The sequence below is a fragment of the Homo sapiens genome, chromosome 20 (genome assembly GCF_000001405.40).
Source record: "Homo sapiens chromosome 20, GRCh38.p14 Primary Assembly".
Taxonomy (NCBI): domain Eukaryota; kingdom Metazoa; phylum Chordata; class Mammalia; order Primates; family Hominidae; genus Homo; species Homo sapiens.
This window is the reverse complement of record NC_000020.11, coordinates 17,654,092-17,668,292: the sequence shown is the minus strand read 5'-3', so window position 1 is coordinate 17,668,292 and position 14,201 is coordinate 17,654,092. Positions and strand designations below refer to the sequence as shown.

General features: G+C 45.7%; 1 protein-coding gene across 3 annotated transcripts in view, besides 1 other annotated feature; it reads left to right on the top strand.

The window, feature by feature from the left end:
* Nucleotides 1-14,201, top strand: part of RRBP1 (ribosome binding protein 1) — a 68,564-nt gene that overhangs the window by 13,950 nt on the left and 40,413 nt on the right. For 2 of the 3 annotated variants that reach the window (NM_004587.3, NM_001042576.2), the window contains 2 exons: nucleotides 7,765-8,313; nucleotides 9,604-9,688. In NM_004587.3, coding sequence (NP_004578.3) covers nucleotides 7,786-8,313; nucleotides 9,604-9,688 — 613 coding nt within the window. In that variant the 5' untranslated portion in view covers nucleotides 7,765-7,785. Of the gene's footprint in view, nucleotides 1-7,764; nucleotides 9,698-14,201 lie in introns of all 3 variants that reach the window. The other variant, NM_001365613.2, reaches the window with a different exon arrangement.
* Nucleotides 12,155-12,449: an enhancer, noted in NCBI's record as "tiled region #8855; K562 Activating non-DNase unmatched - State 10:DNaseD". NCBI's record gives its function as "activates a minimal TATA promoter and a strong SV40 promoter by Sharpr-MPRA in K562 cells {active_cell/tissue: K562}" and the evidence as "EXISTENCE:reporter gene assay evidence [ECO:0000049][PMID:27701403]".

Below are 14,201 nucleotides of genomic sequence, written 5' to 3'. Positions count from 1 at the left end.
GCTGAAGACTGGAGTGTAGGTCTAACGAGTTATCCAAATGGTAGCACAAAGAGATTGAGGTCTAATTAGGAGCTCTACCAGGAAGGAATAGGGAGCAGGCCATTTTCGAAGAACTGTGTGGCCAAGGATTTTCCAGAATTGAAGAATAACATAACTCCTCACACTCAGCACAGTGAGTCTGAATAAGTTAAATATACACTTACAAACATTTTGCTGAATCCTTAGAACCCCAGAAATGGATCTTAAAAGTAATGAGAGATTAAAAAGATATTATAAAGGAATAACAAATAGACTGACAGTGTGTTTCTAAACATCTCATCAAGAAAATGCCGGAAGACAAGTGAAATAACATCTTCAACATGGTGAGAGAAAACTGTCAGCATGGAATTCTGTCCTCAGTTAATCCATGAAGGTGAAGTAAATTTTCTCAGGGCTTTAAGGACTGAGAAAGTTTATGAAGAAGAGATCCTTGCTGAAAGAACTACTCAAGGATGTACTTTGGCAAGACCCTAAAAAAAGGAATGAGATGCAAGTAGCAGTGATGAGCAGATGGCCAGCATTTGGGTAAACAAGCAAGTGTCAGCTATCCGGAACCAAACAACACTGACTAGTCCAGATGTGTGTGTGATGGGGGCTCATGTCATGGGGAAGGGCAGCAGACCTAAGACCTTGTAGGTGGTTTGACCACTGGGGAGGCAGCTGGAGACATTCATGAAATTCAGTCACGTATGGATGTTAGGAAGATGTGTTAGCATCACAGCTTGTAGGATGAAGCCGTAGCAGTACTTAGGGGGAAATTTATTGCCTTAAATATTTGCTGCAAGAAAAGAGAAAGGACTGAAAGTTGATAAATGGCCGTGTCAGAAAGTTAGAAAAGACAGAATAAACCAGTGGAAGATGGAGGAAGGAATAATGAATATTAATTTTATAGATTGGATCAGAAAGCCAGCAGCTGGTCCTAGAATCATCATTGAAATTGATGTTGTTAAATTGTATCGAAATTGTTAAAAATCAGCACTCTAGCCAGCCTTCCCCCTTTAAGAAAAGATCTCAGAACACTAATCCTGATGGTTTTATGGGCAAGTTCTTCCAGATCTACAAAGAACAGAAAACCCTACCTGTACACAAACTATGCCAAAGAATAGGGGAAAAGGAATGATTTTTAGCTTATTCTATGAGACTCAAGAGACCCTAATACCAAGATCAGAAAACAGTCTGAGAATCACCTCTGATTTTTCTCATTTTAAAATACACATAGAAATCTCACATAAAAATGTTAACAAACCAAATCTAGTGATGTGTTAGAAAAGAATCTCCATCAAGAAACATTTATACCATAGAAACTTTCTGTGAACTGGCATTATTAGACTGTGCATTACTGTAATTCCACATACTTCAGATTAAAGGAGAAAATGTCAACTGCAATTGGTAAAATCTAATACTCAATTATATTAAAAAGATAACTAGGAATATAAGACATGCTACTTAACCTGAGGAAAGATTTCTGCCAGAAACCTGCAGTTGGTACGACACTGGTAGTAAAACATTAGAAGTAGTAACTTGCGAATGCTACAAGGCAGCTTATTGCACAGACTCTGCTCAGCACTGCATCAGAGTTCTCAGCCAGCTCTGTTAAGCCAAGAAAAAGAAATGAGATCATATGGTTTGGAAAGCAAGAAACAATACTGTCTTTTTTTCCACAGCTTACTTTTTATTAAAAAAAATCAGAAAGAATCTACAAACTCCTAGATTTGACAAGAACATAGATGATAGCTGGGTAAATTATACATATGCAGAAATGAATTACTTTGCTGGTTGTCTGTAGCTGAGGAGTAGAAGAAGTAGTTTACAAAAGGTATTCTAACCATCAACAAAACAACGTGTAAGACTTTTATGGAGAAAATCATTAAAATCTTATAGAAGTATGGAAGAAAACTTTTTTTTTTTTTTTAAGAGACAGGGTCTTGCTATGATGCTCAGGCTGGTGTTCAACTCCAAGACTCAAGTGAACTCCTGCCTCAGCCCCCCAAGTAGCTTGGACTACAGACACGAACCACTGTGCCTGGCTTCGAAGAAAACATTTAAATCAGTGTAGTGCTCTAGCATACCATATTCATTGACAGATAGCTTCTATAGTTAGAAATATCAATCCTTCCTACGTTCATGTATAAACTCAGTGTGATTCAAATGCAAATTCCAGTAGAAATTTTGTAGGGGATGCTTAAGCTGAAAATGTGGCATTGATGCAGGGCATAAATATAACAGTGGAACAAAGTGTAGAATCTAGAAACAGATCCACTGAATGGCACAGAAATGGCCATCTGAGTCTGTGGGGGAAGGAAAAGACCAGTCAGGAAATGGTGCTGGGTAATTAAACTGATGGGGAAAGTTTTATCACTGTTTCCTGTCACATACCAAAGTAAATTCCTGGTAATTGAAAACCTGACTTTGAAATGCATTACCAAAGTCTTTTGAAGAAAATAACTTATAAACAGTAAAATGACTTCTGTCACAATGGTTATCTCCAGGAAGCGACCCTGGGTGGCTGGCTTCAGGGGTATAAAGGAGATTTTTCACTCATATGGTAGACATGTCACACTACAATTTTGTGTGACAGCATAAATTTTTAAAACCTAAAAGCATAGGAGTATGGCTAATAATTTGTGGTTCAACTATGTAATATAGGAGTGAAAATAAATAAACCCCAGCCTGGCCAATATGGTGAAACCCCGTCTCTACTAAAAACTACAAAAATTAGCTGGGCGTGGTGACACACGCCTGTAATCCCAGCTACTCGGGAGCCTGAGGCACAAGAATGGCTTGAACCTGAGAGGCAGAGGTTGCAGTGAGCCAGGATCATGCCACTGAGCTCCAGCCTGGGCAACAGAGAGAGACTTTGTCTCAAAAAAACAAAAAGAATAAACCAAAGCTATGTGTATCTATATGAATATTCTCACAAAGTTTAGTCAAAAAATGTTACCAAATAGCACCCAGAACAATGTCACTTACACAGCAATTACCAACACACAAAGTAACGGCTGTATTTTGTTGGTAGAGATAGATACATGTAATAGAAGCAAAAGCAGGTGGAAGTGGTAAGTGGCCCATTCAGGGTGTTGTCCCCCTCTAGAAGGGAGATGACATATATATACATATACACATGTGTGTGTGTCCCCCCCCCACATATATATGTATACACAGGCACATACATATATATATAAATAAATATCTAAAGTGCATATGGCAAAATGTTAGGGTTTGGTAAACCTGGGTGGTAGGCTAATGGATGTTCATATTTTTCTTTTTAGTCTTTTGTATGAGTCATTTCATAATATTTTAAAAATTAGGAGCTGTTGATTCTGATGTAGCCATGTCTGCTAGGGTCTCTGTTTTATTGTCATTCTGTTTTAGTTCTGTACCTTCCTAGCAGGTCACCTTATGCCCAGGAAATGGATCTGGGGGTTGGTTTTCTTTGTCCACCCCTACCCCACAGCTTCTCCAAGCTTCCACACACGGTCCCCCGTGGAGCTGCTGCTTAGTAATGAGACAGAGTCCTGGGAGCTGTTGAGGGTCTTTTCACAAAACCTACCAAAATCCCAGCTGCCAAATTGGACCCAACTGGCTTGGCCGGGCCATGTGAATTAGCAGATATCTTCTGTGTCTAAAGAGTTTGGGGCTTCCTCTTACTTTTGTTCCCCGAATCTTAAGAACAGAAGAAGAGCCATTCTCTCAAGATCTTAGAGGTGGGCCAGTGAGTTCAGTCTGTCCAGCCTCTGCGCAGCCTCCTACATCCTTCCCTCTTGGGGCCTTCATCTTTTTGTCTTACAGTCTGAGTATGTTAGCAATATCGTAGTCCCCCTTTATCTATGGTTTCACTCTTTGTGGTTTCAGTTACCAGCAGAAAGCTGTGGTCTGACAATATTAAATGGAAAATTTCAGAAAGAAACTCTTCCTGAGTTTTAAGTTGCATGCCATTCTGAGTAGCGTCTTGCCTGGGATGTGAACGATCCCGTGTGCAGTGGATTCACGCCGTCTGTGTTACCTGCCTGTGCGTCACTTGGTGGCCCTCTCAGCTTTCAGATCCACTGTCTGGTATCACAGTGCGTGTGTTTGAGTCACCCTTACTTTACTTAATCATGGCCCCAAAGTGCAAGAGTGGTGATGCTAGCATATGGTTATAATTGTTCTATTTTATTATTGTTAATCTCGTACTGTGGCTAATTTCTAAATTAAATTTCATCATAGGTATGTAGGTATAGGAAAAAAATAGTGTATATAGGATTCAGTATTACTGCAGTTTCAGACCCACTGGGGGTGTTGGGAAGTTTCCCAGAGGATAAGGGAGGACCACTGCAGGGAGTAAAAGTACGTATTTGACAGAAGTTTCTGGAATTGACAGAATATAGATCCCTGTGGTCAGACCCTACAAGGTATGGGTGGGCACACATCTGCCCTAACTCTGGTGCAGTGGAGGAAGCCCTAGAAGAGGTTTCTGTTGGGGGCCTCTTATCATGGTGTGGATTTCAGGAGCAAATCTCCCGGAATGCTGATTGTGAGAACCGAATTTGAGAGGCATCCCTGGCTTCATCATTTCTGTGAATCAGGGATCTCCCAGCATGATGTTTACGCCTCACTGAAGCTGACTCTGCAAAGCAGCAGAAAGGTTGTTTTTCATTTCGATTTCTTTGCTGTCCGTGGTGGTATTGCCTTAGCCTTAAATGTTTCAGTGTATTACTACTTAAGACTAGGGCTTTTCATTTTCTTGTGAAAGATTTCTTTTAAAAAATTCTAACTTGGGAATTAGTGGTGGGGATGTAATTTCTTTTTCTGCAAAAGTTGGGAAGACACATTTGTGCTGCTATAAAACATATATTTGTGTGCGTTGCAAAGGAAAAATATTCTCCCGAGTTTGTTTTTCTCGATTCTGGGTCCCAACAGAGAATATGTTTTTGTATTCTGTGTTTGCCTATGTTGAGTAAGATTAAAAGTTCATTTTCCAGCCTTGGCTTTTCTGCTGGAGTTTAGAAGTTGGAAACCACAAGGCTGCACAGAGCCCCACAGTCCTCGGCTGTGAACAGGCCCCGCTTTGTGCGTGGCTGTTCACTGTGTCACGGTCTGCAACCAGTGCCAATCGCGACTCGGTAAAGACCACCCCTCGAGCACATGGTTGTTGGGAAACGATTCGGGGTTTATGGAGCCTCAGTGAGGGTGACCCAGGCCCCTAATGTTCGTTTCTCTAGAGAAGGGGAGTGTTTTAGAGGATTTTTTATTTTTTTTTAAATAGAGATGGGGTCTCACTATGTTGCCTGGGTTGGCCTTGAACTCCAGAGCTCAAGCGATCCTCCCTCCTCAGCTTCCCAAGGTGCTAAGATCACAGGCTTGTACCACCATGCCTGGCCTTAGGATTTTTGAATGTAGTGATTATAATGTGGTGTCCATTTTGGCAGAGTTCTGAGAAATCTTGTAAGTACCCAGAGGAGTTTTGGTTGGTGGGTACCTGCCAAAAAGTGAGGGTTGACTGTACCATGTTCCAGACCTTCTTGTCCCCATCCTCCTACCCACTGAATCCATCCATGGCTGAGCAGGGTGCGATTTCCTTTTTAACACCCAGCTTGAGAGTGTGTTCTCGGAAGGCCAGTTCCTGGTATCCTCCCTCGATGATCAAACGTGAGAGTGCCCTGGCTGTGGATCACACTGTCACTGCCCACGGCCAGAGGTCAGAACCCATTTGGAAATATAAATGCTGCCTTACCCAGGATTCAAAGGCCTCCATGAGCTCCCCTAAGACTTTGTAGAGGTTAAGACTGGAATGAAAAGTGTGACTCAGTCTCGCTCAACGCCGAGTGACAGTGTGGGAGAAGTGTGTTGCCACAGCAGCTGATAGAGTTGTCCCCAGGGAGAGCATATGCTAGGAAGTTTCTTCGTCATGAGTGTTTTAAACCCTCTTCTTGTGAAGGTCTTAGAAAGGTCAAAGTAATGTGTTCCTTCTGTGATGAGAGTGATTTTTTTTTTTTTGAAAATTTTTTTTTTGAGACGGAGTCTCGCTCTGTCGCCCAGGCTAGAGTGCAGTGGCGCGATCTTGGCTCACTGCAAGCTCCACCTCCCAGGTTCATCCCATTCTCCTGCCTCAGCCTCCCGAGTAGCCTGGACTACAGGCACCCGCCGCCACGCCTGGCTAAGTTTTTTGTATTTTTAGTAGAGTCAGGGTTTCACCGTGTTAGCCAGGATGGTCTCGATCTCCTGACCTCGTGATCTGCCTGCCTTGGCCTCCCAAAGTGCTGGGATTACAGGCGTGAGCCACCGCGCCCGGCCGAGAGTGATTTTTCTTAGAACACAATGCCAAGACATTGAAAACAGTCTCCCTTCTCAGTCCCTTCTTTAAAATGCCCTCATGTCAAAATTTGGATTTGATTCCTACTCTGTTTCCTTCCTCTATAACCACTCAAGAGGAGTGGGGATCTCAATGTCTTAGGAGAAGAATCTCAGTATCTGAGCCACTAAGCAGCCTGGACCCAGTCTCCCACAGCATCTAGAGGTTTTGCAGGGCAATGCTGGGGGAGGCCTGTCCACTTCCCCTCCTCTCCTCTTCCACCTCCTTTTACCTCCCCTTAACCACCCCTTCTTACCCTTGTGTTCTCTTTGCTCATTCCATCGATCTTCTTTAGAGAGACTCGGGACTGGCTTGAATGTATCCAAATAAATACACCTCCTGGAGTTCCTCAGTGAAGTCGAACTTAGCCCGGGCTGTGGCAGGAAGGTGTATGAACCTGGATGCCTCTGACCCATTGGACTTTGGTCCATAGGCAGTGAGAATGGTGTTGTTCATTCTTATGGTTTGGGGAGTGTTGTCTGACAGAGGGGCCTGCTGACACTGTCTCCTCACCCTCTGTGCAGCTTCTGGATGTGAAATTCCAAACCTGGCATCTTCTGGGCCTCCCAAGACTGATTCTTCCTGTTTCCCAACATGCAAATTGCAGGCTCCATAACTCCTCAGGAGCTATTGCTGGCAAAAGGCTATTTTCCCTCACTGAATTTTTGAACACGTTTCAGGATTGTAATGCAGAAGTTTTTATCTCTGATCCTGGGTAGCAGCATTTATTGGCACTGGGGAAGAGGGAAACAACAGAGTGGAGATGGCACACTGTGGGCCTGCTGGCTAAAATGCTTGTGGCTGAAAGCCTGCAGATGTGTTTGGTTTGGTTCGGTTCACATATTTTTTAAATCAGTCAATTTCACGTTGAGAGAAAAATTTTTTAAAAGTGTCTGGCCTAACATGAAAAATCAAAACATCTTCCAACTCAGCAATCACATTTCTAGGGCAATCGGCCATGACAGAGTGTCACTGTCTAATTTTAGGTGGGGGCGGGTGTTTTTACTACAGTCTCCACCACTCCCCATGGTCTCACACCTGGCCTGTGTTTGTGCTCCTGTGCATCTTTGACCTTGGGTGGGGAATATCTTGCATCAGGGTCATGGCTGCTGAGGCTCCTGGGCGTGTGTGCTCCAGAGATAGGCCTCCACTCTGCTCTGACTCTGCTGTTGCTTTGTATGGGGACTGCTCATGCCTTGGGTACGAATCGCTCACTCCTAAAGAGGAGCAGGTGAGAATGTGGGACATCAGAGAGTGCCTGGGTTTGTTTCTTCTCTGAATTTATTAGCCTGAAGAAAGAATTAGTGAAACCTGAAGTTTGGTGGTAGGGTGGGGATAGAAACTGTTGAAGGCCTTGATTTCTATAAATAGTAACCTCCATGTATGTTTGACAGGTGAAAGGAAAGCAAGCCAGGATGGATATTTACGACACTCAAACCTTGGGGGTTGTGGTCTTTGGAGGATTCATGGTTGTTTCTGCCATTGGCATCTTCCTGGTGTCGACTTTCTCCATGAAGGAAACGTCATATGAAGAAGCCCTAGCCAACCAGCGCAAGGAGATGGCGAAAACTCACCACCAGAAAGTCGAGAAGAAAAAGAAGGAGAAAACAGTGGAGAAGAAAGGAAAGACCAAGAAAAAGGAAGAGAAACCTAATGGGAAGATACCTGATCATGATCCAGCCCCCAATGTGACTGTCCTCCTTCGAGAACCAGTGCGGGCTCCTGCTGTGGCTGTGGCTCCAACCCCAGTGCAGCCCCCCATTATCGTTGCTCCTGTCGCCACAGTTCCAGCCATGCCCCAGGAGAAGCTGGCCTCCTCCCCCAAGGACAAAAAGAAGAAGGAGAAAAAAGTGGCAAAAGTGGAACCAGCTGTCAGCTCTGTAGTGAATTCCATCCAGGTTCTCACTTCGAAGGCTGCCATCTTGGAAACTGCTCCCAAGGAGGTGCCGATGGTGGTGGTGCCCCCAGTGGGTGCCAAGGGCAACACACCAGCCACTGGCACTACTCAGGGCAAAAAGGCGGAGGGGACTCAGAATCAAAGCAAAAAGGCTGAAGGAGCCCCAAACCAGGGCAGAAAGGCAGAGGGAACCCCAAACCAGGGCAAAAAGACAGAGGGAACCCCAAACCAAGGGAAAAAGGCAGAGGGAACCCCAAACCAAGGCAAAAAGGCAGAAGGAACCCCAAACCAAGGCAAAAAGGCGGAGGGGGCCCAGAACCAGGGTAAAAAGGTAGATACAACCCCAAACCAGGGGAAAAAGGTGGAGGGGGCCCCAACCCAGGGCAGAAAGGCCGAGGGGGCTCAGAACCAGGCCAAAAAGGTAGAAGGGGCCCAGAACCAGGGCAAAAAGGCAGAGGGGGCCCAGAATCAGGGCAAAAAGGGAGAGGGGGCCCAGAACCAGGGCAAGAAGGCCGAGGGGGCCCAGAATCAGGGCAAGAAGGCCGAGGGGGCCCAGAATCAGGGCAAGAAGGCCGAGGGGGCCCAGAATCAGGGCAAGAAGGCCGAGGGGGCCCAGAATCAGGGCAAGAAGGCTGAGGGGGCTCAGAACCAGGGCAAAAAGGCCGAGGGGGCTCAGAACCAGGGCAAAAAAGTAGAAGGGGCCCAGAACCAGGGCAAGAAGGCTGAGGGTGCCCAGAACCAGGGCAAAAAGGCCGAGGGGGCCCAGAATCAGGGCAAAAAGGCCGAGGGGGCCCAGAACCAGGGCAAGAAGGCCGAGGGGGCCCAGAACCAGGGCAAGAAGGCCGAGGGGGCCCAGAACCAGGGCAAGAAGGCCGAGGGGGCCCAGAACCAGGGCAAGAAGGCCGAGGGTGCTCAGAACCAGGGCAAAAAAGTAGAAGGGGCCCAGAACCAGGGCAAGAAGGCTGAGGGGGCCCAGAACCAGGGCAAGAAGGCCGAGGGGGCTCAGAACCAGGGCAAAAAGGCCGAGGGAGCCCAGAACCAGGGCCAAAAAGGAGAGGGAGCCCAGAATCAGGGTAAAAAGACAGAAGGGGCTCAGGGCAAAAAGGCAGAAAGGAGTCCCAACCAAGGCAAAAAAGGAGAGGGAGCTCCCATCCAGGGCAAAAAGGCAGATTCGGTTGCTAATCAGGGCACAAAGGTAGAGGGTATTACAAACCAGGGGAAAAAAGCAGAAGGGTCCCCCAGTGAAGGCAAAAAGGCAGAAGGGTCCCCCAACCAAGGCAAAAAGGCAGACGCAGCTGCCAATCAGGGTAAAAAGACAGAGTCAGCTTCTGTCCAGGGCAGAAATACAGATGTGGCCCAGAGCCCAGAGGCACCAAAGCAAGAGGCTCCTGCCAAGAAGAAGTCTGGTTCAAAGAAAAAAGGTGAGCCTGGTAAGTAACTGATTTCTTTATGAACTTAGAAGGAAAGGCTGTCTTTAAATGACTTATGGATTCTCTCGGGGAGTGCCACCTGTATCAGTCAGCTATTGTCATAATAAGGCTGCGTAACAAACATTCAAAAAAAAATTCAGTGGCCTTCAACAGCAGTCATTTATTGTTGCTCATGCTTCTGGAGGTTGGCAGATGTGAGCTTTCTCGGTTGGTGGCTCTGCCTCAATCTGGTTTTAACTGGGTTGGTGACTCTTTGCTACAGGTTGAGCTCAGGTCAGTTCCATGTGTGGTCCTTCTGGCGCCCTCCAGGGCAGAGGCCCTTCATAGTTACAACAGAGGCACAAAAGGGCATTTCAAGTCAGCATTTCATTGACCAGATCAAGTGATGTGTCTGAGCCTGAGTCAAGGGGCAGGGAGTCCACTGTGTCCAGGGAGAAGGGACTGCAAGGTGATGTGAGAAAGGAGAGGTGAGGAGTGAGCAACAGGTCCGTGTCTTGGCATGTCTTAAACATATGGGAGCACAAGGAGAGGTGAGGAATTAGGAGCAATAATTCTGTCCACCACACAGTGTAGAAGAGTTCTGCGTGTTGGCAAGTCTTTCTTAACTGTCTGGCTGCGTTCTGTCAGCCTGTTCGATGTTCTTGCCTCACCTGATGCTTTTGTGCAGCCTGACTCGGGTATCTGTGCTTGTTGAGTGAATGATGGTAGGAAGGTGTTTTTAAGGAGCAGTTGCATTCTTTCCTCTTCTGCCTTCTCCTTCCCCTGCGCCACCCTAGTCATTTGGTAAAGCATTATAGAGCATTAACATAAACACTGGATTACATAGATATATATGTGATCATATGAAGCACTGGTTTACCTTTATCTGTTTAGTGTATATTACTGTAGAAATTGGTCCAGGGAGTTCCTGTTTCATGTTTGTCATTCATTCAGTTTCACTTATGTTTTCTTTCTCTCCTCTCCTTTCCTTTCCTCTCCTCTCCTCTCCTTTCCTTTTCTTTTTTCCTTTCTTTTCTTTTCTTTTTTCCTTTCTTTTCTTTTCTTGTTTTTAAATAGCCATTAGCTGATTTGGAAAAATAATTGCATTTGTGTTGACGAAGGGTATCTTAGGAGGTGTGAAATGTTTGTACCTGTGTCGGGCTGCACAGGCCCTGTGTCTTTAGCTGGGCTTCCCTATCTTGCCTCTGTCAGGCTATTACCTTCGTGGGGTTTCCTCCTTCTGCTGTTTTTGATGGGCCATTTGCTGGGGCAGCAGCCCCCTGCTCCGTGTGAGAGGCCCTGTCCCCTGTGAGCGGCTGTAGGCTCCTGTGGGAAGCCAGCGACCAGCTGCCCAGCCCAGATCAGGTGGCCTTGAAAGCCCTTTGAAAACCCAGACGCTCTGGCCTCAGCCCTACTTCCAGAGGCTGGCAGGCGACGCACTGCCCTTTCTTTAACATGATGTTCCACTTGATTCAAAGCTGGGGATGGAGCTGAGAATCAGCTTTTACTTGGTTCTTCCACATCAGGCATGTCCACAGCTTCCTGCATCCCATGGTCATTGTTATTTCGTGTGGTTTTAGACATTTGAAACGAGATACAAAACAGAAGTGTGATGATAATATTGGAAAGGAAGACAAAATTGTTCTAATTTGCAGGTAATAAAGAACCTTGTTAGGGATGAGACCTACGTGTGACCTCTGTGAACGTAACACAACAGCTTGAGTGGGGTGATAAAGTTGGAACCAAGAAAACAAAACCCATATTCCAGGAGAAGAAGATGAAATATTATCGATGAAAGGATAGTAATTTTCAAGTTAATTTAGTGGTCTACCATTATTCCAGCCAAACTTTCTTGAGATTTTCCCCCTAACTTGACGGATTATTCCAAAAGTCCCATCTGAGGGAAAAATAGGTAAGAATAATTGAACAGATTTTTTTACAGTGGATTTTAGAAGGCCAGTCCTGTCAATGTGTGAACGTCTCCCAACTGTTGTAATTACAAGTAGGGGAATAGAAGGCTCTGAAACTGACTGAGAACTTGAATGAGAGAAGCATCATATTGCAGTAGGGAAGGAAACGTTCAGCAGATGATCTAGGGCAGTGTGTTCATATATTCATAATTTGGAAAAGTCTTCTTAGACCCGCCAAGCACTTGCCTCTATAAAAATTTAAGGTTTGGATGAAATAGATTTAATTTGAAAAAAAATGAATATGGGTTAGCCCAGATGGTGGAAGATGGCCACTCTGACATTGTCATGAGAAGAAGTCACCAAGGCTGACATGGGGGAGCTTGACACACAGCCACGCAGGGCTGTGCAACCACAAGGAAGAGGCAGAGACAGGGCCACACGTGCCACCAACATGCCGCCCGCAAGGTGGTTTCTTTCTTCTTCACAGTGTCGGCAGTCTAGAAAACATGGGGAAAGTTCTTTCTTGGACTTTCTATTTTCGTTTCTTGAATTAGCACTGAGGAATCTCAGGCCTGTTTTCCCATGGTTGATGTACAAAGGCATCTTCAGGGCCATCTGCGGTGGATTTGGGCCACTCCCCAGACACCGTGAGGATCCTGGAGACGTCCCCTCCTGAAGTGCTTCTTAAACTTTGTTATGCAGATGAATCACCCAGGATCTTGTGACTCAGCAGCTCCCAGGTGGGGCCTGAGATTCTGCATTTCTAAGCAGTTCCTGGGAGCTGCTGATGCTGTGGGTCCCACGTACCACATGTGGGGCCAGTCAGGATCCAGGAGACATCATCATTTAACTAGCAGTTTCAAAAACTCACATTAAAGCAAATAAGCTTTATTTAAAAACCGTTAATATAAATATATAATGTATATTTTTAAATGCTGGCATTGTAAATTGTGTGACCATTTTGAAAAGCAATTTTGTGAAATGTATCAAGAGCCTCAAAGGGATGAGTAGTTTTTCTTCTTCTCCTGGACTCCCCTCAGGAAACAGTGTAAACTGTGGCAGCCAGGTCTGTGGGTGAGTGGCTGGGGTGTCCCTCGGACCACCCCAAGGGCCTCGGTGCATGCGGCTCACCCAGACACAGTGCAGCCACTAACAGTGATGCCTGTGAAGATCCCATAGTAACCTGCAAAGACATGGTCACGTGGTCACAATGTGACTTTTCATTGGAGAAGTCGGGTGCCAAATTCTTTAGATGCCTCAAGAACAGTGGAAGGCAGAGACATTAAATGAGTGATAACAAGATAAACCGTAACTGTAGGAAATACAGTACAATTCCTTTCTGATTTTTTTCTTCAATGTAGTAGTAGTTTTCTCTTCAAAAGTCAAAAAGCAGCTGGGCGTTGTGGCCCACTCCTGTTATCCTCAGCCCCTGGGAAGATCACTTGAGCCCAGGAGTTCCAGCCTGGGCAACATAGTGAGACCTGGTTTCTATAAGAAATGTTAAAAAGAAAGAAAAAAATAAAAGTCAGAAAGCAACGCTGAAGACCCTAGATCTTGTGTTTGTGACAGCGCCCCCTGGAGCTGGGAACGCCCTTTGGAAAGCCTTCATTAATGCTACTGGGACAGGAATTCCAACGAACTGATGAAGCAAAGAATTTCCTATTAAAACCTTCCTGATATAATGCCCTTCAGAAATTATTTTAGAGAGATAAAATTGGGTCTTGATATATTATCTTAAATACTCTCTTTGCCATTGTGAAAAATAAAGGAATAATGATACTTCCTTAATTCCAGATGTTAAAACAACTGAGAAAGATCCCTGGAAGGCAGGGGCTGCTGGAACTCCTGCTCCTGCTTGCTGTCTCTGGACATAGCTCAGCACCGCAGGCCTCTGCCTGTGGGTTCATCTCAGTAGTTCGGGGGTGAAGTGCAGAGAAGGACCCGAGAGCCACAGTGGACAGACCTTAGGGGCTGAGGGTGGTTTATATAATGGCACAGGCTATAGAGTCACCCAGGATTGTTGATAGGGCAGTGTGGACTTGGTGATGGGTCCAGAGCTCCAGCCACAGTGAAGAGACCCTCCCTGATTCCATGATGCTCAAGCAGCAAAAGCTCAGGACAGATGAAAGGAGGCATTTATGAACATGGAAGGGAGTCACTAGCAAACACACACGTGATTGAGTGGTAAGGCCCGAAATTCAAGGTATTTGAAATCCCAGTTAACAAGCAATGTATTCAGTCTACTTCTTTTCCACAGAATCAGTAGTGCATATTGGTAAGCCTCCAAGTTTATCCACAGAAAACCCGTAAGTCCTTAATGTGTCTGGAGTTGCGTGGTCCCAGGTAGAGATCTTCTCACTGGGGGAGCAGCATCTGTACAAGAAGAAGCATTTAGGACTCTGGCTTAAGATGCTTCACACTCAGCACCTGCTGCCACCAGTTCCATCATGGGGTCACACTCAGGATGTAGGGGACATTTGAGTCCTGGAATGACAAAGGCTCTCCTACAGGGAGACTGTGAAGGGAGGGTGCCGGCCCTGGGATGTGAGGAGGTCGAGTCTATGTTACGTGGACGGCCCACACCAGTCTGAGCGGGTAGCGATTGGGGTGGAGAG